The 26,379-nt window shown below is 42.4% G+C and overlaps 1 protein-coding gene across 10 annotated transcripts in view; it reads right to left on the reverse strand.

Moving 5' to 3' along the window:
* The window catches only part of AMBRA1 (autophagy and beclin 1 regulator 1), a 197,612-nt gene that overhangs the window by 79,584 nt on the left and 91,649 nt on the right, over positions 1–26,379 (reverse strand). For all 10 annotated transcript variants that reach the window (NR_160027.1, NM_017749.3, NM_001367470.1 and 7 more), the window contains 2 exons: positions 18,129–18,209; positions 17,613–17,713 (listed from right to left, as the gene is read on the reverse strand). Coding sequence is in view for 9 of the 10 variants with exons in the window: in NM_017749.3 (NP_060219.2) it covers positions 17,613–17,713; positions 18,129–18,209 (182 nt within the window). In the remaining variant the exon portion in view is untranslated. The remainder of the gene's footprint in view (positions 1–17,612; positions 17,714–18,128; positions 18,210–26,379) is intronic.

Consider the following 26,379-nt stretch of genomic DNA (forward strand, 5'->3'; position numbering starts at 1 on the left):
TTTCAGAAAATGGTCACTCTTCCATATAGGGGAGACACTAATATCACAAAGGAAAAGGTGGAGAGCTGCACTCAGTGCCTGAAAACAATGACTGATGAGTCCACACAAACCAAACCTCCAACACACAGTACCCAGAAATAATAACAGAGAAGAGGAAAAAGTGTCCATGAAGTTGAGAGGGGAAATCAGCCAGTCAGTGTTTCCTTCAGCACTATTACCTCCAAATCCCATGGCCAATTTCTCTGTTAGTTCCATCCAGTGGCAGCTCAAGAAATTCTATAAATGAGTCTCAGGGTTGGCAGGTGAACGAGTAGGGTGTGCACAAGTTAGGTGACTTGTCTTGAAGCTGCCGGCAGAGCAAGCACACTGTTTTTCACTTAGATGGTGTATTTTTAGGGGTGGCTTGTGGTTAGATAATAGTGGTGGGGAGATACGTAAAGAGTCCCAAGCCAACCCGTGGTGCTGGTACTGCTTCTATCCCATAGGACCTTCACATTCTTCCCAGGTAAGACATAGATTAGAATAGCCAGAAACTTATTCACAGCATGTGCTCCTAAACTGTCCCTGTGGCCTCTCCACCTAGAACATGGGAGTGAAGAAACTGGGCATTTTAAACAATTTACTCCAGCTTTGCACTGATATTTTCAGTTTTAATTAGTTTGCAAAATAAGCTATACAACATTTTACCACTTTTCCCCAGTTGCTTCACATCAGCAGAATCCAGAAAAATATTTAGACCAAGAAACACTTTGTGGCTTTTATAAGCTCTCAGTTAGCTCCTGTGTTAGCTCTATTAGTTCTGCCTTAAAGAAAATCAAGTTCAAATTCTGCTTAAGGCTGGGTGTGGTGCCTCACGCCTGTAATTCCAGCACTTTGGGAGGCCAAGGTGGGTGGATCAGCCAGGAGTTCGAAACCAGCCTGGTCAAGATGGTAAAACCTTGTCTCTACTAAAAATACAAAAAAATTAGTTGGGCATGGTGGCGCACGCCTGTAACCCCCCAGCTACTAGGTAGGCTGAGGCATGAGAATCACTTGAACCTGGGAGACAGAGGTTGCAGTGAGCCGAGATTGCGCCACTGCACTCCAGCCTGGGCAAGACTGTCTCAAAAAAAAAAAAAAAAAATCTGCTTAAATACTGAGACCCACAACAGATAAAGGGAGAAAGGTGGAAGGGTGGGAGGGGAAAGGGACCCAGGAGTAAAAGTAAAGGCAGAATAGAAGGACACTAGCTCAATCTCATCACCACAACCTCTAACTCTTATCAGACAAAAAAGGATAAGGCCGAGTTTTCATTAGGGAGAGTCTTTGTCTCTTTAAAGATACTTCTTTTTTTTTTTTTTGAGACAGGATCTTGCTCTGTCACTCAGACTGGAGTGCAGTGATGTGATCTCTGCTCAATGCAGCCTCTGCCTCCCAGGCTCTAATGATCCTCCCACCTCAGCCTCCTGAGTAGCTGGAACTGTGGAACTACATGCACATGCTACCAAGCTCAGCTAATTTCTGGAAAAAAAAAAAAAAAAACTTTTTGTAGAGATGAGCTCTCACTATGTTGCCCAGGCTGGGCTTTCCTGGGTGCAAGCAATCCTCCCACCTTGGCCTACTGTGCTGGGATTACAGGCTTGAGCCACTGTGCCCAGCCTCTTTGAGGACACGTCTTTATTGTACATAGGCTATACCATTTTGAATGCACATGCCTAGGATAATATCCAGGGTTTATCAACAGCAGAGCCCCCAGCCCATCAGCGACTGAGGTGGTTCTAAAAGTACATCAAGGAAGTCCTAAAAGATTGATTGGTGAGGCCAGGCATAGTGGCTCACGCCTGTAATCCCAGCACTTTGGGAGGCTGAGACGGGCAGATCGCTTGAGGTCAGGAGTTCGAGACCAGCCTGGTCAACATGGCGAAACCCCATCTCTACTAAAAATACAAAAATTAGCCAGAGCTAATTTTTGTATTTTAAAAGAACTCTCTACTTTGAAAAGAACCCTGAGACACTATGTGAAGAAGCACAGGTTAGTTTACTGGTGAATGAAAAAAAAAAAGAATGACTGGTGAATATACTGAATTTGTCTCTATGTGACCTGAGGCCCAATCTATGCAATTCACATTTGGTCCCCATAAAATAGTTTTTAACCAATCTCAATAATGCCAAGTAAAAGCTAAGTCCTATGCTTGAGAATAGCTGAATTCTTGCTTCTCCCAACCACTGCTATAAGAAAGCATAATATGCCACAGTAATTGGGCACACAAAAATTCCTTGCCTTAGTTTTTAGGAACTTTTCTTCTGAGTTGCTTCTGTTCAAGGAGCTCTGGATTATAAATGATGCCACGGGTACAGGTTCACTTACAGCAAATTAGTAAGTGCTTGCACAGTTAATTCTGTCAGTCTTACTCCTACACAGAAATACATTTGGCCCCAAGGGGCCCAACCACCCACAGAGCTCTTTTGCACATCTTTTTACCCTCCAGCACAGAAATACAGGGCTATATCCTAGAAAATACCCAGAGAAAGAGAAAAGGTAGTTTCCCTGATATCCTATGTCTAGGAAACCAGGGTCCAGCTTTTTATTTGAATGTTGTTCCTAAATTCATTTCTCTGAATAACCCAAATAATTACCTAAGGCAAGATATTTCTTGTTTTTTTCTTTTTTCTCTTTTTTTTTTTTTTTTTTTTTTGGAGATGGAGTTTCGCTCTTGTTGCCCAGGCTGGAGTGCAATGGCGCAATCTCGGCTCACTGCAACCTCCACCTCCCGGGTTCAAGCGATTCTCCTGCCTCAGCCTCCCGAGTAGCTGGGATTACAGGCATGCACCACCATGCCCGAAGATATTTCTTGAAAGTTCTAAATCTGTACCTTTATATCCTTTGGTATGCTGAAGCTTTCCTCAGTATATGTAAGGACACTTTTAAAAAAAGCAATTTGTGCTGGACGCAGTGGCTCACGCCAGTAATCCTAACACTTTGGGAGGCCAAGGTGGTAGGATCGCTTGAGCCCAAGAGTTTAAGACCAGTCTGGGCAACACAGTGAAACCCTGTCTCTACAAAAAATACCAAAATTAGCCAGGCATGGTGGCATGTGCAGTAGTCTCGGTTACCTGGGAGGCTGAGGCCGGGGAATCACTTGAGCCCAGGAGGCAGAGGTTGCAGTGAGCTGTAATCAAACCACTGCATTCCAGCCTGGGCAACAGAGTGAGACCCTATCTCAAAAGAAAGAAAAGAAAAAAAAAGCAATGTGTTCAGAGTGTGCTAGCAGGCTACCTCAGATTTCAAAGCCTACTTAGTTGTGGCAGCATGTTACAGTAATGGCCCCAAATGATTTAGGCCCTTCTGTATCCATGGCCTTAGAGAGTCTTCTTCCTGGTTTGGGGCTTACCCAAACAGCTTGCTTTAGCTGATGGAATGGACAAAAGCAAACATGACATAAGGAGAGATTCAAAAAGTGCTTATGCAGTAGGACTTGACCTCTCCTGCTTCTTTTCAGAACTCTGAGGTCAGGAGTTTGAGACCAGCCTGGCCAACATGGTGAAACCCTGTCTCTACTAAAAATACAAAAATTAGCCAGGTGTAGTGGCAGGCGCCTGTAATCCCAGCTACTAGGGAGGCTGAGGCAGGAGAATCACTTGAACCCAGGAGGCGGAGGTTGCAGTGAGCTGAGACTACACCACGGCACTCCAGCCTGGGCGACAGAGCGAGATTCCGTCACACACACAACCCTGAGACACTATGTGAAGAAGCACAGGTTAGTTTACTGGTGAATAGAAAGGAGACAAGTCATCCCAGCTGAAGCCAAATAGCCTGCCAAATGCCAGATACATGTGTGAAACTATCTGTTATCAGTTTTCTATAACTGCCATAACAACAAGCAGAAACTTAGTGGCTTAAACAAGACAAATTTATTATCTCTCAGTTCTATAGGCCTGAAGTCAAACAAAGGACTCATTGGGCTAGAAGAAAGGTGTTGGCTGGCCTGTGTTCGGGTCTGTCTCCTTGTCCATTTCGGTTGCTGGCAGAATTCAGTTCCTTGCAGATGCAGAACTGAGGTTCCCACTCGCTGCTAGCTGTTAGCAGAGGCCATTCCCATCTTTGATCATTGCAGCACCTTGACTGACCCTTCTGCCTTCCTCTTCCACTTTTAATAGCTCATGTAATCAGATGAGGCCCACCCAGATAAATCAGGATAATCTTCCCACCTCAAGATCTATAATCTTAATCATAACTGCAAAGTCCTTTCTGCCATGTAAAGTAACATATTCACAGGTTCTGGGGATTAAGATGTGGAAGGACCTCTTAGGCAGATCATTATTTTACCTACTAAACCATCTAAGATCATCCACATCCAGCCAAGCTATTAATTGACCACAGAGAAGAGCCAATGATGCAGACCAGGCAAACTGCAATTGGACTCGCAGAATTGTGAGAAACAAGAAATGTCTTATGCCACTAAATTTGGGGGTGGTTTGTTCAGCAGCAAAAGCTAAATGACATAATGGCCAAAGCTATACCACTTCCCAGGGTTGTGCAACCCTCATCCCAATACATGCGTCTTTTCCTTCTTTGCTCTAGATCAACATGTGTACCTTAAAAGCAACTGGCAGTTTTTTGTTCTCTGAGTCATAAAACAAAATAATTCATTTTATTTTTTCTTCTAGTCCAGATCTAGAGATTATTGCTGAAGTTTAACCAAAGTCAGCCTTATTATCTCAAAACAACCAGAGAGAGGCTCTTTGCTCTACAACTTTGGAAGCTACATACATGAAAAAAATATATACATACTGCAAGTCCCAGGGAATGATTTCAAGGAAGGACTACCTTTTGACAGAGCTAAAGCTGCTGATAGAAGAGGAAAATTTCACTGCCATCCAACTATCTCTCCTTTACGTATAGAGACCAATGAGGGGTTTGGGGCACAGCCTCTTAAAGAGGGATCTCTAACCCTTCACTAGCCAAATAAATTTTCTCAACTAGGCTCCCCCTCAAATTTGCTGATACTTAAAGGTCTGGAAAACTTCAGTAGAAGGAAAATGCCAATAGCAACTTAATGTCCTCTTGGCTCTTTTGGCTGACTTCCCTGTGCCTGGGTCTTGACTATTAATTGAATGCTGTTCAGATTCCATCTCAAAAACAAATGAGGATGGAGACCAGAGGCCTGCCGTCCCCAGACTGATAAGAGCAGCACGGTGCAATTACACCCAAACAGCTCTGTTTTGGAATGTAATCACCGCCCCAGCCTTCTTCCCAAAGGGATGGCAACAGTGTAATTACCACTACACAATTCATTGTTTGGGAATATAATTCTTCTACAGGGCCCTCTTTCTAGGGGAAAGGATCTGCGACAAGGATATAAGAGCATAGTAGCCCCCTCCCCAGTAGCAGTCTTCTGAGCTGAACACACTATTTTTGTTTTTGTTTTTGTGATGGAGTTTTGCTCTTGTTGAGCTCAGCACACTGCAAACTCTGCCTCCCGGGTTCAAGTGATTCTCCTGCCTCAGCCTCCTGAGTAGCTGGGATTACAGGCATGCGTCACCATGCCTGGCTAATTTTATATTTTTAGCAGAGATAGGGTTTCTCCATGTTGGTCAGGCTGGTCTCGAACTCCCGACTTCAGGTGATCGGCCTGCCTCGGCCTCCCAAAGTGCTGGGATTACAGGCATGATCTACCGCGCCCGGCCTATTTTTGTTCTCTGAAGGTAAAGCCTGAGATTAGATTTTAGCCTGTTTTTCTACCAACAAAGAATCAGATCACACCCCATGGTGGTTCTGTTGGAAAAGAGCAGGACTGCCTGAGGTCCAACTCCCACTCTGTCAAGTACTAGCTGTGGTTTTGGGTAAAATACTTCATCTCTTTTAGCCTCAGTTTCCTCATCTGTAAAAATGACAGTGTATCATAGCAATGCTGCTGGTGATTAATATGTGAGAAGTGCTTGGAACAGTACTTGGTATAGAACAAATGTTCTTAGGGGTTTTGTTTACCAAATTTGAAATATCATATTCCAAAGTCCTCACGTTTTGCAAGTTTTGGTTACTACATCCTTGTAGTATAATTCGAAGTCAGGTAATGTGATGTGATGTTTCCAGCTTTGTGTTTTGTTTTGTTGTTGTTGTTTTTGCTTAGGATTGCTTTGGCTATTCAGGCTCTTTTCTGGCTCCCTATGAATTTTAGGATTGTTTTTCTCTATAATACTACTTCATGGCCAAATCTAAGCTTGAGTTACTAAATTCTGTCTTTTCACTACCCCTCTGCAGTTCAGCATGATGGGCAATGTTTTGGATAATTGTAAATGCTGTTATAGAACTGTCACAATCTCAGAGCTATTTGTCTGGGTGAAACTTCACTCTAATGAGCAGGAGTGACTGCGGATATTTCCATGTCATTCCTTTATGTTACCAGTCCAACGGAAACCGTAAAAGACTGTTGTGAACACTTGCTGTTGGGAGTCAGCAAATATTACAAAAAGCAGCCACTGGCACTAACTATATCAATATGGTAGATTCTGGAGACAACTCACCTTTCTAGCCAGCTTCATTTGTGAAAATAAATGTCCCTCACATGTTTACTGTGCACCCCACTTCACAGGAACAAGGAGAAACCCTTGTTCCCAATGGGGACTTCTACCCTTTACCTCCTGTCTAGCTTTCCCTTGTTCCTTTGTACCCTGGACCAGTTAACTTCCCTGCATTAGGAAGGAATCTTTTTGGCTTCTACTTTACCAGCTATGAGCCACAAGAGTAAAAACCAGCCAGGCGTAGTGGCTCACGCCTGTAATCCCAGCACTTTGGGGTGCCGAGGCAGGCAGATCATAAGGTCAGGAGTTTGAAACCAGCCTGGCCAACACAGTGAAACCCCATCTCTACTAAAAATACAAAAATTAGCCAGGCGTGGTGGCATGCGCCTGTAGTTCCAGCTACTCAGGACGCTGAGGCAGGAGAATCATTTGAACCTGGGAGGCGGAGGTTGCAGTGAGCCGAGACCATGCCATTGCACTCCAGCCTGGGTGAAAGAGTGAGACTCTGTCTCAAAAAAAAAAAGAAAAAAAAAAAAGAGTAAAAACCATGAATCTGCTTACCAGGCATCCCTAAAGAATGTAGCCCCACAGCTCAAGACAGTAGAAGTGATGCTGGGCTCCTTCTTCATGGCACAAAGCTGCAGTGAACTGGGCCTATGATAAACCCAGGGACTCCCCTCAATAGCCCTATAACATGAGAGACTATCTTCACAGGGTGAGTATGTGGTTACAAGATGACTCTCTGGCTCTGGGGTGACACTCAACAGCTACCCAAAAGAAATACCCAAGGGAGTCTTAACACTCCCAAAGGGCCCCAGTCACCTATTTGCAGGAGTTTCTTTCCCCATCATGGCTCATACAAAGATATCCATGCTTGCTCTTCAACCTGAGTGGCATGAGGACCCAGGGGAAGAGCTGGCCTTTGTTGATCAGCAAGTTTTAAAGAAAGGAAATTAACAACCACAGGTTGGCTCCACTTTGGTAGAAAAGGTAAGAGGTGATGTCTGCCAGCTCCCATGGCATTTCCAGCCAGGTTGGAATAAACGAGGCTGCTTGGAGATAGGAAAAGGAAACGAGAAAGAAAAGCTGATGTGAGCCCAGGGTTTTAAAAAGGAGGAGGCTGGCAGGCATGGTGGCTCATGCCTGTAATCGCAGCACTTTGGGAGACCAAGGTGGGTGGATCACCTGAAGTCAGGAGTTGAAGACCAGCCTGACCAATATGGTGAAACCCCATCTCTACTACAAATACAAAAATTAGCTGGGCGTGGTGGTGTACGCCTATAGTCCCAGCTTCGGGAGGCTGAGACAGGAGAATTGCTTGAATCTGGGAGGTGGAGGTTGCAGGAGTGTGCCACTGCACTCCAGCCTGGGCAACAAAGTGAGACTCTGTCTCGAAAAGAAAAAAAAAGGTAAAAAGAAGGAGGTAGGGGGTTAGTTAGCATGGGTTATTAACTTCCAGCATTCATACTGCTCACTTTGGTAAAAACTACTGAAGTAGATGGGACAGTAAAGAGGATTGTTCCAAGTCTCTTTACTCACCCTGTAAAGACAGTCTCTCATGTTATAGGGCTATTGAGGTGAGTCCCTGGGTTTATCATAGGCTCAGCTCACTGCAGCTTTGTGCCATGCACAAGGGGCCCAAGGTAGGGGATATCTAATCCTAAAGAAAGTTTGAAATGTAAAGAAATATAACAAAGAAAGCTGCTGCTTCCACTGGAAAATATGGGTTTTGACCTCACATTTGGCCTTCTCTTTCCTCACATGTCCTCTGCAGATTTCTAGATCATTGCATTTGTTCTGAGGGGTTGCAAAACATGTCAAAGCACATACTAATCATAACCTAAGAAGAGAGAAGTAAAAGAATTCTGGCATTATACTGAGTCATTATAGATTAGAGAGAATCTTCAGCTGGCACCTTCAAAATGAGCAGTAATTCCAAGGAGCACACAACCATGGGATTTAATAATCTTTGAGATCATTTTAGGTCTAGGGAAGCCCCAGAGTACAGAGAACTTAAAGTACAAATAAATAGTGGCGCCTCAATCCAGACATATGGACATTAAGATTTCTACTTTGTACTAACTTACATTCCCACTGACAGTGTATACGCATTCCCTTTCCACTGCATCCCTGCCACCACCTATACTTCTTTGGCTTTTTTTTTTTCTGAGATGGAGTCTCACTCTGTCGCCCAGGCTGGAGTGCAGTGGTGCGATCTCTGGCTCACTGCAAGCTCCGCCTCCCGGATTCACATCATTCTCCCTCAGCCTCCCGAGTAGCTGGGACTACAGGCACCTGCCACCACACCAGGCTAATTTTTTGTATTTTTTAGTAGAGATGGGGTTTCACCGTGTTAGCCAGGATGATCTCGATCTCCTGACCTCATGATCCACCTGCCTCGGCCTCTGAAAGTGCTGGGATTACAGGTGTGAGCCACTGTGCCCAGGCTTTTTTTTTTAAGACAAAATCTCACTCTTGTCCCCCAGGCTGGAGTGCAATGGCGCGATCTCAGCTCACTGCAACCTTTGCCTCCCGGGTTCAAGCGATTCTCCTGCCTTGGCCTCCCGAATAGCTGGGATTACAGGCACCTGCCACCACGCCCGGCTAATTTTTGTATTTTTAGTAGAGACAGGGTTTCACCATGTTGGCCAGGCTGGTCTCGAACTCCTGACCTCAGGTGATCCGCCCGCCTTGGCCTCCCAACATGCTGGGATTACAGGCGTGAGCCCCTATGCCCGGCCTCAAGAAGCCCAAACTCTTAAACATTTCACTATACTGTCTCTCAGACAGAGTATACCATATAAATGACAGCTGTCCTTCCAGTGCCCCACTTACTCACGCTTATAGTCCCACTCAAAAGATGAACGGGGACACATTTGCAGAGCTTCTTCAAACTGTACGAAAGACAAACTGGACTGAAAGTCCTTGATCCAAGCCCAGGCTTACACCCCACCTCCCTTAGCTAATCTATCAAGACTGGTAGTTAAAGTCTCAGGGGAATTAGTAAATTTTTAGTGGCAGGGCTAAAACAAAACATAGATATTGGGCTACTCCCTGGCTAGACAGTAAACTCCCTGAGGGCAGAATCATTTAATTATTTTGTAATACCCAAAGTGTTCTGGAAAATACTAAGCATTTAGAAAGTGCTGTGTACATTTTAAGGTGACAATACAGAAAGGGCACACGGGTAAAGCATAAGTGGGGAAAGATCAAGAGGAAATTTCCTGGGGAAAAGAGAGACAAAAGCACAGAAAAACTTACACATATAAAAGGAACAGAAAAGTTCATTGACAAGGCCCAGTATTTTTCCCTAGAAAAGCCTGAAGAAGCACAGGCAATTCAGCTTAGAAACTGGGCCCCATGTTCTCAATAAGCACACTTCTCACTAGTGGTATAAGATAAGGTAAAGGGCTGGGGTAGAAAGGACTCGAATGCTCCAGTGACTGGTGGACACCAAATAGGTAAAAGGCCCCGGGTGCTATAAGGCAACTGGGAAGGCTGAGTTCTCTGGGAGGAGTACTGCATTTACTTCTCTGTTTCCCAGGCAACAAAGCCAGCCTCTTATTCCCTTCACTTTCATCACTGGAGCAGAATGAAATGTAATTGGGTTAATTATTAAAGCAGCACTACCAGTACCACCACCACTAATTGTCCATTTATCTGGGGTTTATAAACAGCCATCTTAATTGATGTTGAGTTGGAATGTGCCACTCATGTTATCTGCCTGGCTACTGGGTACCAGATGGGTACACGGCAGAAAGATAAAGGGAGATCAAAGAGATAAAGGACCCAACACCAGAAATATTATTCATTTCTGTTCACTTTCATCTAAGTAATATCACGATGGCCCTTAACTGCAGTCTCTATTATTAATCTATACCAGATTTGCCAGTTCAAGTGAAGATCTGCTATATAGTGATTAAGCAATTTGTTGTATTAGACAGCTATGCTATCAGATGGTGAAATAAGGCTAATTCCTAAAAGTTAGCAAGCCTGAGGCTCTAGATGCCCACCCCAGTTGACTAAGTGAGACTAAAAAGTCCTCCTGAAAGTAATTCCCTAAGGAACCAGGGAAGTGGGGAACATCTAAGACCAGAGTACTGGTGTTTTTAAAAGAGACAAGAGGAGGCTAGGTGCAGTGGCTCACACCTGTAATCCTAGCACTTTGGGAGGCCAAGGTGGGCGGATGACCTGAGGTCAGGAGTTCGAGATCAGCCTGGCCAACATAGTGAAACACCGTCTCTACTAAAAATATAAAAATTAGCTGGGCATGGTCGTGGGCACCTATAATCCCAGCCACTTGGGAGGCTGAGGCAGGAGAATGGCTTGAACCCAGGAGATGGAGGTTACAGTGAGCCAAGATCGTGCCACTGCACTCCAGCCTGGGTGACAGAACAAGACTCCATCTCAACATAAATAAATAAATAAATAAATAAATAAATAAATAAATAAATAAATACAAATAAAAGAGATGAGAGGGGCCAGGCACCATGGCTAACACCTGTAATCCCAGCACTTTGTGGGGCTGAGTGGGGCAGATCACTTGAGCCTAGGAGTTAGAGACTAGCCTGGGCAACATGGCAAAACCCCATCTCTACGAAAAGTACAAAAATTAGATGGACATGGTGTTGTGTGCCTACAGTTCCAGCTACTCAGGAGGCTGAGGTAGGAGAATAGCTTGAGACCAGCAGGTTGAGGGTGCAGTGAGTCGTGACTGGGTCACTGCACTCCAGCCTGGGCAACAGAGCGAGACCCCATCTCTAAAAATAAAATAAAAATAAAAGAGATGAGAGGGGCAGAGGACAACCAAAAATAAAGTTAACAATAATAACAAGTAAATTGTTGTTAACCAAAAATAAAGTTAATAACAATTTTATTAACAAGTTAATAAAGTTAGATGAAAATAAAAGTAAATTTTATGAAAAGTATAGCTCTGTCTTTCCCACACCAGGCAACAAACAGAAGGATGCCTGAGAAAAGATTGTATTAATCAATAAGTTAACACCACATTGTTGGGTTTGTAATACATATAGATGTAATATTAATATATATATAACAGCACAAAAGAGGTAGAAGGGAATGGAGCCACAGGGGAACAACAGATAGTGAAAAATGTTTCTATATCTTACCAGAATTAAGTCTGAATAAATTGGAAACTGATCCTGATAAAATACATTCAAAAATCAAAAAAGGAATTTAAAAGACACATTAGATGATACCCATTTAATACAAATGAAGTCAGTAAAGAAGGAACAGAGGAATAAAAACATCAGAAATACAAAAAACAAACAGTAAAATGGCAGACAAAAACCCAACTATATCAATGATAATATTAAATGTGAATGGACTAAACAATCAAAAAGCAGAGATTGTCAGACTAGATAAAAAACAAGCTCCAATCATATGCTTTCTACCAGATACACATTTCAGATTCAAAGAGCTAAACAGGCTGAAAGTAAAAGGATGGAAAATGATATCTCATGTAATCAACAACCATAAAAGAACTGCAGTAGCTATATTAATATAAGAAAAAATTGACTTTAAGACAAAAAATATTACTAGACAGAGAGGGACAATGGTAAAATAGTTAATTCATCAGGAACACATATCAGTCGTAGACATATGTGCACCTAATGACAAAGTCACAAAATACATTAATCAAAAATTGACAAAATTGGGCCAGATGCAGTGGCTCACGCCTGTAACTCCAGCACTTTGGGAAGCTGGGGCAGGTAGATCCCTTGACATCAGGAGCTTAAGACCAGCCTGGCCAATATGGTGAAACCCCATCTCTACTAAAAATACAAAAATTAGCCAGGCCTGGGGGCACACGCCTGTAATCTCAGCTACTCAGGAGGCTGAGGCAGGAGAATCGCTTGAACCCAAGAGGCGGAAGTTGCAGTGAGCTGAGATTGCATCACTGGGCAACAGAGCGAGGCTCTGTCTCAAAAAAACAAAACAAAACAAAAAAAAAAACTGACAAAATTGAAGGGAAAAATACACAATTCAATAATAATAGAGATTTCAATACCCACTCTCAATAACTGACAAACTAGATAGAAAATCAGCAAGGATATACAAAGCTGGAACAATAATATTGACCAAGTAGATTTAACCGACATCTACAGGACACTCCACTAAATAACTGCAGAATACACATTCTCCTCAAGCACATGGGTAACACTCTCTAGAAGAGCCTATATACTAAGCCATAAAACAAGTTCCAATAAAATTAAAATGAATAAAATCACACAAAGTATGTTCTCAGACCATGATCAAATTAAATAAGAGAACAACAGAAGGAAATTTGGGAAATTCAAAATATGGGAAAATTCAACAACACACTCCCAAAAAAGTAATAGGTCAAAGAAGTCGTACTGAGAAGTGACACCGTTCAGTAAAAAGGTTTTTTTGTTTTTTTGTGTTTTTTGAGACGGAGTCTTGCTCTGTCGCCCAAGTGCGGGGGCGAGATCTTGGCTCACTGCAAGCTCCGCCTCCCAGGTTAACGCCATTCTCCTGCCTCAGCCTCCAGAGTAGCTGGGACTACAGGCGCCCGCAACCGCCCGGTTAATTTTTTTTTTTATTACACTTTAAGTTTTAGGGTACATGTGCACAACGTGCAGGTTTGTTACATATGTATACATGTGCCATGCTGGTGTGCTGCACCCATTAACTCATCATTTAACATTAGGTATACCTCCTAATGCTATCCCTCCCCCGCTCTCCCCACCCCACAACAGGCCCCGGTGTGTGATGTTCCCCTTCCTGTGTCCACGTGTTCTCATTGTTCAATTCTCACCTACATGCCTGGCTAATTTTTTGTATTTTTAGTAGAGATGAGGTTTCACCACGTTAGCCAGGATGGTCTCAATCTCCTGACCTCATGATCCACCTGCCTCGGCCTCCCAAAGTGCTGGGATTACAGGCGTGAGCCACCGCACCTGGCCAGTTTTTCTTTTTTATATTTAAAAAGAAGAAGAAGGAGTCATAAGAGAAATTAGGATAACTGGGCACAAAGCCATCTCTTGCTCAAGACACTGGACCAGGCCGTAATGACCTGTGGCTAGGAGCAAGAAAACCCTGACACTTCCCATTGATTTTAATCAAAACAGTAAATTAAGTATATCAGGTCCACATCTGCTAGGAGCAGATGCTCATTAGGATGAAAGTCAAAAAGATTATGCAGGACAGACAGCTAATACCCCACATTACCCAGGCCCCTATTCCTCAGAAGTTTTTTGTTCTTCCAGTAATTACCAGGAAGCTGTCAAATGCCAAGCTTCTTATTTCACTTTTATGAGGCCTCAAACATGCAGAAAAATATTATAAGCTTAAGAACCTTTTGGCAGATATTCCCTACTTGAACTCAAACAAAACATGGCACAGACGACAGAACAGAACTCTTCTAAGAGTCAGGAAGACCCGGTTTAAAATTCCAGGTCAGCCTCTCACAGTGATATTGGGCAAGTGACATAACTTTCTGAGCCTCAGTTTTCTTCCCTACAGAATGGAAATGCTACCACCTACCTCACAGGGTTGTTGCAAAGATGAAAAGAGATAACGTGGGAAAGACAGTACCTGGTCCACGGTAGGCACTCAGCTTCATTTCCATCATTTCAGTTGCTGTGACTACACAGAGCTAGTGGTCTGCTACAATGTCAGCAGGGGGAGCTCCTCAGACTTTTGTATGTTCTCCCACAATTTTACCTGGTAGAGCTGCAATAGCTTTAAATGTACTTACAGCTCTTTAAGTATGGGTCTAGAATTTGTGTTGCTGATGATGATGGGGAAAGGCCTGGGTTGATGACCAATTGGAGGCTACCAGAAACCTACAGAATTGCAGGTGAAGGCACCAAGATAAGGGAGAAGAGATGAATAATAGACTATCAAAACACTTTTCTCTTTATTTTTTAATATTTTAAAAATTCTTTTTGCAATAACTTACTCTTCACCTTATAACACTTTTCTATAGTAGCTTCTGTTTTCTATTATTGCTTTCAGTCTCTTGTGGGAGGAAGTAGAACGGATCTTGATTTTCCGCAAACCCATTTTTGTTGATGATTCTGAATGGCTTTGCTTAGGGTCCACTGAAGACTCATTTGGCACTACAGTACTGGTCACACCCCCTAAAACTGCAGGTGTGTGTCTGCTTTGTCCCTCCAGGTCTGCCAAATTTCCAAGCTTCATCCCTGCAAAAAGCCATTCACCATGCAAAAGTTCCACTTATGTCTGGAGTAAGACTGAGTCATGGCTAACCACCTAGACTTGGAGCTACAGGAAGGCAGGGATCATAGTCTGTCTTATTCACTCTGGTAACCTAGAACACTGCCTGGCATATGACAGCTGTAGAACAAATGTCTGCTAAATGTAATTGTTCTGGGACCATTACAATCTCATTCCAATCATACATGACAAAGTGCCTTTCCAGGAAAATTGGGAGTGCTTACTGCTAAAAGGTCAATTGCTCTTTCACTCTGAAAGCTATTATTATAGCAGCTCAATTACATGATCACAAGTAAGTTTAATAAAAAGCAAAACATCTGTATCCAGGAGGGCAAGAAGGCTCAGGAAAAGGGCGGTTACATAATAAGATTTTCCTCAGCAAGCACCACTGGATCATAAAAACCTATGTCTAGGAACCATTTAAATAGAATAATTAAAACAAACAAGAAAAACACTGAAGTTCCCTGGGAGCTCTCTCCCTCTTATAAAGTCCTAAGAAAAAGAATGACATTTTAATGTTTTGTCCTTTAAAACAACTACGAGGAGGCGGATCGGGAAGGTGGTTTAGAGACTACTGGCTCCATTCTTCTACTTCTTAGCTGCATTACTCTGGGCAAGTTAGCCCTCTGGGATTCAGTTTCCTCCACTGTTAATTAGGTAATCGCACCTATCTCATATGATTACTGCAAGACAGAAACGAAATATGTGTAAAGCACGTAAAACACTCCCTAGTATATAGCAAGTGCTCAATAAATGTTAGGCTTTTGTTGCTATATTATTATTATTGGAATTTTCTCAAGAGAAGAAAACAAATGATACAACTGCCAATAGAATCTGGAGGGACATCAAAATATCAACGAATGATAAATAAATACTCTGTAATATGTATTTTGAAAAATTGGTAGAAACTAGTTTAATGGTGAATGAAAACCATCTGCTAATCTAACTCAAGAGTGAGGTTCTAGGGAGTCTAGAGTTCCTTCTCCTAATGGCATTCTGCATCCTTTGATAGATTTTCTCAGATTTCACATCTGTAAACAGCTGCCCACTGCAACACAGCCCCTATATTCAAAGGCATCCATAAGTGTAATTAGGCCATTTGGGGTCAGACCACAAGGCATAAAGTAGGAAACAGGAAATTGAAGTAAGGAGGTCTTGGAGGCAAGGCAGAAAAAAACAACATACAGCTGTTCCCCCAAAGCTAAATGCCAAGGAAACAGAGATCTGCCGGCAGTAGAGAAGCAGGAGGTGCTGTATGGGGTGGTGGAGGCAGATGTCTGGAACAAAGAAGGGTGGAGAAGAGCTCTAGAGTATTGTCTGGCAGCAAGTTATTATCTGCCAGTGAAAAAAGCTTTAACGTGCCTTCGGTTAAGCCACACAGAAGTGCCAGGCAAGGAGAGGCACGGACCACAGCATCTGTTTTACAACTAGGGCCAGAGCCTCCTCAGATGAGGCTGTCAGGAGATTGTGGTATAGTCTGCTCTCCTGCCAGGCCAGAGCCTATGAAGTCCTGGTGTCTGACAGAGAAACCACTGAGGTTTCTGGAATTTCTAAGCATTGATGTTGGATCAAACATACTATTTAGGAAAGGCCAGATCCCATGGCCTTGATGCTGTCACAGCAGCTTGGTTAGAAATCATAAGATAAAGCTTGTAACATTCTCACAGTCAGACAGTGCCACTGCCTCAGTAGATCCCTCCCCACCTTTAACCATCACATGGCCCAGATTCTCCAAAACAGAATGTCATTTTAAAACTTTTAATAAAGATGCTTATTAAAGATACCTCTAAATGTGGCTTGATTTTTATACCTTTTATGCATTTGCATTCATAAATTTATAAGTCGGCAGTGGAGGTGGGAGGGAGGTAGGGAAAGACTGTGACAGGGAAACAACCTTTGCCACATATAAAAATGGAATTCTGCTTTACTTCCTTCTCTAGAGACTGACCAGAAGCAATAGCACACACAACGTCTCAGAACACAGTCACGTCATGCCTCACAGCCGAAAAACATCTGTCACTAAGCTATTCAACCATCATAAAACTGCTGGCCAGGCACAGTGGCTCACGCCTGTAATCCCGGCACTTCGGGAGGCTGAGGCAGGCAGATCACGAAGTGAGGAGATTGAGATCATCCTGGCTAACACGTTGAAACCCCCTCTCTACTAAAAATACAAAAAATTAGCTGGGCGTGGTGGCGGGCACCTGTAGTCCTAGCTACTCGGGAGGCTGAGGCAGGAGAATTGCTTGAACCCGGGAGGTGGAGATTGCAGTGAGCCAAGATCGTGCCACTGCACTCCAGCCTGGGTGACAGGGCGAGACTCTGTCTCAAAAATAAATAAGTAAATAAACAATAAAACTGCTTCAGTGGGGCTTGCCTAGCCCATTTTCTGTTCTGTGGAGATTTCTGAGCCAGCTCCAAGGGCGTCTCCCTCTTTTCCTTCCTCAGAAGATTCCACACTGCCTGGAAATTCCACATGCTGGCAGTACCAAAGGAGTGGAGAGGTGTGCACTAAGCTCCTAATTAAATCACAGGATCTGGCTCATGAGTATCTCACCAACCAAAACATAAACACGGCACCTTTATCATTCAATTAAAAGCATAGCTAGAATTTAATTGCTGGATTAAGAAACAAATGGTTTAAACAAATAATTTAAAAGAAAAAAAAAGGTCTAGGGAAAGTGGGAATAGGGTAAGAGAAACATTTTTCTTCAACCCTGCCATTTCCTGCCTTCAAGTAAGGAACTGAATATCAAACCAGGACCCCAAAATAGAATTTTCAGACAGATGCCAAGACACCATCACATCAACATAGGTAAAGGAGGGAGAAGCTTTATCTGGCTCCTTGGCCCTTCACATTTTCAAAAGCCAAAGAAACATTTCCTTACCTGCCAGGACCCTGTTAACAGAAGAGTGAGTAGCCAAGCCAGGCTGTCCACGTTCATGAAAAATCCCAGCATAAGGCAAGTACTCAGGCAGCAAGAAACGCCTACAAGAAGGAATCACATGTGAAAAGCTGACTAAAGACTACCACGAAACAGATACTAACTACCTACACTGAAAAATCTGGGCTAAGGGACCCACTGAATCCACAGATGCCCAGAAAGAAATAAAATCTCCCAAGATTGGTCCTTCCGCAGATTTGTATCTATCTTTTTCTGCCCTTCCTTCTAAAGTTCCCCCAACACTTCTGTTCTTAAACAGGATTCTCCCAGCACCACTTTTTCATCTCTTTTGAATGTGGCTAACCATCATCCGTCAAGAGTTTAGACAGCAGGGCTGGGCTATGGGCCCACTAGGAAACAATGCCAGATGTGGACAATTCAAAGACCAGAAAGTAGGTTTAAAACTAAATCCTAGGCTCTAACGAAGGCTCCCTCTGTTGCTAGCAACTCGGTTCTTACCTTGGGACAAAGCGTCCAAGCGAAGGTGCAGACATCCGGGCATTGCGTGGAGCTCGGTGCCTGGATCTGTCACCATTGTCCCTGAAAAAAATAAAAACACTACACATAAGAGAGTCACTAAGGAAGAATCATCCACCAGCCCAAAAAGGAAACATCCCCAAAATGACATTCTTACACTTAGGAGAGGACCCCACATAAATTAGTCATCTGGCTGCTCACTAATTAGGCAGCACATTAATAAAACATATTTCTGGAGAACCTCAACTAAGAGATTTATGAGCATTTACCAACAGCTCAGGAAAGAGGAGGATTTTTCTTGAGTTAATGTGGTCCCTTAGCGTCTCAAACTGAAGCCACATTTAGATCTTAGGATTTGGAATGGATATATATAAACTTTTTCTATATTGAAAGATGCAAGAAAAATGTGTCTTGGGGGGTTGTCTTACATTATTTATCATTTTACTTGTTATCCAGACGCCTGCTGTGGGAGGAGGTCTTAAAGGAAGAAAAATTCCCCCACCAATTTCATTTGGCAAATGGTTATCTTCAAATGAAATCTGTTTAGGTCTTCCATGTGGAAAAATCAGTGACAGGTAAAAGAAAAAAAAATGCACAAGAAAAAGACAGTACCTTCTTTTACAGACTGTCAATGGTGAAGAATATTAGAAAACGTAATCCTATGTTAGGTCATTTGAATACAAAGTCTGGGTGTTTTCTTTATGGACTGTTAACAGTCCATGCAATAGTAGTAACTGCCATTTATTAAGTATCTGCTAGGTTCCAATACAAAGGTTATTGATATGTTATCCCATTTAATTCTTCTGGCTAGGCCACGAAGTATTATTACTATTTTACAGAGAAGCGGACGAAAGACCAGAGAGGTAAATACCATGGTCACATAACTAGTAAGTGGTTAAGGCAGGATTCAAGGAAGATTGGACTTTGAAGTCCTAGATCTTTCCACTACATTTCACTGCTTCCTACAAGAGAAGAGGAAAGGAGCTTCACATGTTTTAGTTTCCAGTACATCAAAAGAATAATAAGCCAAAGGGCACTGGCTGGACAGAGCAGTTAATGAGCGGCTTAACCAACTCCACAAAATAAATGAACCTTTGAGAGCTTGATTTGGGATATTTTCTGAATTCTCCCTTTGGATTATCTTCAAATCAATGAGATAATCTTCAAACTGGCCCTGAAACCGAAGTTAAGGCAACACTTGGCTTTTAAGTGGACCACTGGGAACTTCACAAGCCAGAAACAAAAGTCTATGATGGTTTTTATATCTTGGTAGAATTGGCTGCCGAGCATTAAATGACAAATCAATACCAGGGATATTGGAAGCTGATCCATTGAAAGTATTTGGTTTTTATTTTCCCAAAAGAGAAAGCGTACACTGTGTTCCTTAACATATCTTATTCCTTTGACCTGAAATTGTGCAGATGAAAGGAGGGGCAAGGAGAAAGAGATAAGACTATATGGAATGTAAAAGGGGGGTTAAAGAGAACAATGGAATCAGGAGTTCCTGACCAGCAGACTGCAGTTACTGGGGAGCCCACAAATTATACATGTACACAGAGTAGCTGAATATCAAACAAATAAGACAGTTTCCAAATTAAGCATACTATTATTTTTCAAATATACTACTGTTGTGATAAATTACTAATTCATTTAAAAGTACAATTGAATTCATGATAGCTTTTCATTATCGTATATTTCACTTATCAATTAGTACTGAACAAAGTACAACTAATTATCATAAGAGGAGTTAGAAAATATTTTGAAGTTAAAAAGGATCCTAAGCGGGGGAAAGGGTGGAGGCCTCTAAGCCTCAAAAAGATAAAAAACTATCTGGGCACAGTGGTGTGCATCTGTAGTCTCAGTTACCTGGGAGGACTGCTTGAGTCCAGGAGTTCAAGGTCAGCCTGGGCAACAAGAGACTCTCATCTCTTTAAAGAAAGATAGAAAACAGGCCGGGCACAGTGGCTCACACCTGTAATCCCAACACTCTGGGAGGCTGAGGCAGGAGGATCACCTAGGGTCAGGAGTTCGAGACCAGCCTGGCCAACGTGGTGAAACCCTGTCTCTACTAAGAAAAAAAAAAATACAAAAAATTAGCCAGGCATGGTGTTGCATCTTGTAATCTCAGCTGTTCAGAGGCTGAGGCAGGAGAATCCCTTGAACCCAGGAGATGGAGGTTGCAGTGAGCTGAAATTGCGCCTTTGCACTCCAGCCTGGGCGACAAGAGTAAAACTCTGTCTCAAATAAAATAAAATAAAAAATAGAAAATAAAGCTAGAAAAGAAGCATCATGGGTCAAATCTAATTATTCCACACCCATGAGAGAGAGCTGGCCTTCCCAGAATCACATTACAGAGCTGACAATTTGCTCCTGCAAGATCCAAAGATTCACCTCCTTCTGGACAACAAACACGAATCTATCTCTCGTTAGAAGGGCTGAAGAGCAGGGAAGGAGAAGCCAGTGCACTGGACAGTACTGAGCAGTTGCCAGTGCCCAAAGGTAACACAGAGCTTGGTGAAAGAACACAAGAAGACAACAGAGAAAAAGGGGCAAACCCCAGGGCTGGGGAAAATGTGGGCCCGTACAACGTAGGTCACAAGCATCTTTTTGTTGCTATTAAAACCTAAATATAATTTCTTTCTGATTCAGTTTATCCCTTCATTTAAAAAAAAAAAAAAAAGGGAAGGGGGCTGGGTGTGGTGCCTCATGCCTGTAATCCCGGCACTTTGGGAGGCTGAGGCGGGCAGATCACTTGAAGTTAGAAGTTCGAGACCAGCCTGGTCAACATGGTGAAACCTCATCTCTACTAAAAATACAAAAATTAGCCAGACGTGATGGCGAGCGCCTGTAATCTCAGCTACTTGGGAGGTTAAGACACAAGAATCGCTTGAACCAGGAGGCGGAGGTTGCAGTGAGCCAAGAGTGCACCACTGCATTCCAGCCTGGGTGACAGGGCAAGACTCTGTCTCAAAAATAAATAAATAAATAAAATAAAATAAAATAAAAAAATAAAGGGAAGGGGTTAAGATGATAAATTTTATGTTATGTGTATTTTACCAACATTTTTAAAAACTGATGGAAAAGAGAGGGTGCAAAATATGGTCAGAGATAATGGCTTTATAGTGTTTAGAGATTAGTGGGGGATATATAAAGGAAAACAAGAATGAGATCAGCTGGCTCAAATACACGCAGTCTCAGACTGAAGGTTACACGAGGCACTATAAAAGAGGCAACATGTTAAGTAAGGGGAGGTGCTCATGCTGGTCCTCAGTTTATTTAACATCTTGGCTAAGAATGGAGAAATAGGAGCTAAATGTCATCTCAATACAAGGCAGAGCAGATTTCAAATTCCAAGTGTTGAGAACTCTGAAGGAGAAATGACAGGAGAGGACCCAGCACGACCAGGAAAATGTGAAACATAATAAACACAATATGAGATGCTGCCTATGGGAGAAAAGAACCCACAGACCTCTAGGATAAAATAGCCTATAACCAAACCAGCTCAAACATTTACTGAGCAGGTAAAACCTTGAATACCGGAATGGGTAAGGTGGCAAAGGTCAAAATATACTACAAAAGGACGAGTTCGACAGGAAGAGGGGAAAAGGCCATCAGTTTTAGTACTGGTACACAGAAATCCTGGACCAAAGGCACAGTTCCAAATAACTAAAGGCAGAAACAGTAACTGATGACTCTCTAGATTCTATAGTTTAGAAAGAGGGGAAGATTCAGAGATAATGGGTTGGGGTGGGAAAAGAAATTTCAATGCATGGGATATTTAGTGGAAGAACTGAAGGGAGAGGGATAAGTTCCAATAGAAGAGCACAGGAATTAAAAGTACTTAAAATAATGATATACTTAGAAAACTACACAGAAATCTGCCACTCACTTCCGTGCTGATACAAGGTCGACATCAAGCCAAGGCTCTATGAGATAGAAGGAGACAAATTTGGTCAGGCAGGCAGAGGCTGAATATGAGTGAATTGGAAGATATTTGCCAGATGAAAAGTGAGAGAAAGGCAGACCCAGACAGTTTAGGAACAGTGAAGGGTGCTAAATACCGGGCTCTAACAACATAGCCAACACCCTTTCCAAGGGTAATGACTTAAAAGTGTGAAGAACAGAGTACACAAATATGTTGGTATTGCTCCTCCAACATAGGAGGAATACTTTTCAGGGAAACACCAGAGAAACCCTCATCAATTCCAACAGCCTGAAGCTGACTTTGAGCCAGCAGGATAGAAGCTGGCTGGGTTATTAATGGCTTTCCCAGTTGCTGAACTCTGTGCATCTCTGATTAACTCTCAGAGGGGTATTTGGGAAGGAGTAGGGGGAAAAATACTTTCTTATCAAAGATTTTACCAGAAAAAAAACACCCTTCAAACAATCAAGTATCCAAAATAAGTGCTGAATACAAGAAGATGTATTTCCAGAACAAGGGAGAAACACAGCAGCAGCTCTTTTGCTAAATGTCTAGGATTAATTGCCTCGGAGAGAGGCTGTAATTTGAAGGAATGAAAAATGCACCTACAGACTGCTGTCTGAGTCCTGACCAGACAGTCAGGTTGTCATTGCTCCTCAGTGACAAATGGCTCTGACTTGGGCCTTTATAAATGAAGCTCTTGCAGCAAAAAGCTCAAAAGGCCACTGTCCTCTTGACAGTATACAGTTGACTTTGCTGACAATTAGACTATTAAAAAATTTTTGTTTCCCTATGCTGCTCTGTTTCTACTCAATCTCCAGACAACAGAAGGCCTAGCTGGTATTCCTGTCCCTGGAGAGCACAGTGATCTTGGTCAACTCATTTCCTTACTGGAGTGCTGCTGGTTAGAAACTGAGGCCCCAGTCTCTACTTTCAATGACTGTGCACATATGCAAGGGCTTTGATTTCTGGAAGGAAGGCACAGCCCCAGCTGATATCATTCATAGGGAATAGCTAATAGCATAGGTCTCCTGGAACTACAGAGCCTTCATTTTTCTCCAAGGAATGGTAATACAAGAGATAATTACCATTTACAAATTCCTCTCCTCCCTTATGTTACCTTTTAATTTCATCTGCCTACATTATGCAAATCCACATTCCTATTGTGCATTTTATGTTAAAAAATAAGCATATAAATCTAAGGGTTATGTCTTCCTCCCCCAAACCCCCACTGCGTAATTCTTTCCTGCTGTATTTTCCCATTCTAAGCCCAAGCACAATCCAGACGTGTTCCATTTTCTTTCTCTTCTTCTGCATTCCTCTTAACAAATATTCATATGTATTTTACTTGCCCAGTAATTCTAATTCTAGAATCCTAAAGTATTAATTCTAAAGTTGCTAAGCAATATTACACGTTTTTAAGCAATAAATCAAAGTCCTCAGTAAGAGCTAGAATTCAGGTAAAGTATGTATTTTACAAATACATTGAGGCTCGACAGGTACCATATAGCCTATTCTTAATCCTCAGGAAGGCCCCTTACTTTTCTGAGACTTTTCATTATTGTACCTCTGCCTACTACAGGGGAAATTTTTCTTTTTTTTCTTTTTTTTGAGATGGAGTCTCACTTTGTCACCCAGGCTGGAGTGTAGTGGTGCAATCTCAGTTCACTGCAACCTCCGCCTCCTGTGTTCAAGCAATTCTCTGCCTCAGCCTCCTGAGTAGCTGGGTTTACAGGCGCCCGCCACCACGCCCAGCTAATTTTTATATTTTTAGACAGATGGGGTTTCACCATCTTGGCCAGGCTAGTCTTGAACTCCTGACCTTGTGATCCATCTGCCTCGGCCTCCAAAGTACTGGGATTACAGGCATGAGCCACCGCCCCCGGCTGACAGGGGAAATTTTTCTAAGATAGTTAACTCCAACAAAGATCCAAGAAGCTTAAAGCTACAAGAATCTGAGGTTATCTAATCTCATTTTACACATCAGACACTGAGGCCTAGGATGGGAAAGGGGCCGGCTCAAGATCAGATAATAAATCACAGCCTCAGCCAAGACTAGAACCCAGGACTATTCCGTAGACAATAGCTGTCAGGCTGTGGGGCCAGCAGGCATTGACAAGTGATCTCAATGCCAGTCACTGCTGTTCTAAGAAGCAGTGATTGCTAATTTATAAATTTAGTTCAAAACTGGATCCAGTAAGAGTAAAAAAGGACTTAGCATTTTTTTTTTAGACAAGAAAAGTAAGATGGCTGTGCTTTCAGGAAGCTCGTTCCCCTAAAACATTCACAAACAGGCTCCACACTTAGAAAACATCAAGCCCTCAGACAATCAATACTTACAATGCAACCCTCAGATATCCTCACCTGTACTATGCCCACTGCTTTCTAACTGGTACTTCTGCATCAGTACACTTGTCACTTTAGGTCACCTTAACCAATGCTATCAGAGTTAGCTGCCTAAAATATATATTGGATGATGGCTGGCCTGAGACAAAGTCCAAACTTCTCAGCCAGGCATTCCAGGCCATCCAGAGTTCGGGGCTTTCTGATATCTCTCTCATATCACAAACACTCCATAGCTCTAGCCACAGATCTATTCAGGGTCCCTGAATAAGCCCTGTAAATCTCCTGTCTCTACGCTTTTGCTTAAGCTACTCCCTTTATCTAGAATCTCCTCGCTATACCCATCACCAATATCAATTCCTCTCTCACAGTTCTATGCAGTCTTCAATACCCAGCTCAAATCCATGAAGCTTTCTCACCTCTCCCCAAATACTCTCTCCCTTTATACAATGCTCTCCTAGTATTTTAGTGGTAACTTATTACAGTCTATCTTTTTAGATACTTATGTAAAACTTGATGCTATTCCATAACTTAAAATGCTTCAATGATTCCCTCTTGCCTATGGGATAAAGTTCATCTCCTTTGCAAGGCACGCAAGACAAAGATCTAGCTCCATTCTAGGGGCTCATCTGCCACACATCTTTAACTTTACAGTCTAGCCACACCTATCAACAAAGCAATTCCCCAAATATTCCATGCTGTTTCATGTTTCTATGACCATGCATTTACAGCTGGTACTCAAATAATGTTGTTTCATTCAATGTTGTTTTGTATAATGTTGATGAGGGAAAAAAATCAATTCCTGGCCATGGCCACTGTCTGAGTTTGCACACTTCCCCATGTCTGTGTGGGTTTTCTCTGGGCATTCCAGTTTCCTCTCACATCCCAAAGATGTGCACATTGGATGAACTGGCATGCCTAGACTACCTTAGTCTGAGTGAGTGTGGGTGTGTGCATGAGTGCACCCTGTGACGGAATGGCATCCTGTCCAGGGCAGGTTCTCCCTGTGCACCCTGAGCTGCCAGGATAGGCTCCAGCCACCTGTGAGCCAGAATGGGAATAAGCAGGTTGGAAAATAAATGAATACAAAATAATGTAAAAATATGTAAAGCATACAATAATCATACAGATGCACAACAATAATGATGCAGTACTAAGTCTCAGGGCACTGACCATATTTGTTCCTGTTTATGTTTTAACTACATAGTAGTTCCTCACAATTTTCACTTTGCAAACATCTATTCCTTGATTTACCTCACCCCACATTGACCACTGTCACTCACTGATTCACCAAAAATCAAATAATTATATTTTTATTAATCTTTTAGATGTACAAACAGCTCACATTTATTTCAATGTTTAATATAAGAAGTGTTTTGGGTGTTTTAGATGCTTGGTGACGTTTTTGTAGCCAGAAATATGTCACAGGAACTTAACTCTTGTTCATATCAATTAGTCTATGGTAAAATTAGTTTCATTATAGTAGTTTCGCTTAAGTTACAGTTTCCAAAGAGGAATTACTGTACTTGCCTTTCTCCTAAGTATACCTAAATAAAGACCCTATTTTAAGACTTACAGCTCTTTTCTAAGCCATTTTGTAAAGACATTCGACCACTACAAAAATTATCTGGAAAATAAGAGAGGTTTTTGTCTCTCTCCAGGTCATTTTCTTTCTTTTTTTTTGTTTTAATTTTTTATGAAAATAAAAAACTGCACAGGCTGGAGAGCAGTGGCATAATCTCGGCTCACTGCAATCTCCGCCTCCTAGGTTCAAGCAATTCTCCTACCTCAGCCTCTTGAGTAGCTGGGACTATAGGTGGAGAAGTTTTTGTCTCGTTCCACATTAAGAACTAATTTTGTATAATACCACCACTCAATAAATGTAGATGGCTGGCTGATTCCTAACTGCTTTAAGCAGGTTCCAACCTATAAAGAGAGTAACTTTACAGTGTGTTTCCTCAGCATTTC

The sequence above is a fragment of the Homo sapiens genome, chromosome 11 (assembly GCF_000001405.40).
Source record: "Homo sapiens chromosome 11, GRCh38.p14 Primary Assembly".
Taxonomy (NCBI): domain Eukaryota; kingdom Metazoa; phylum Chordata; class Mammalia; order Primates; family Hominidae; genus Homo; species Homo sapiens.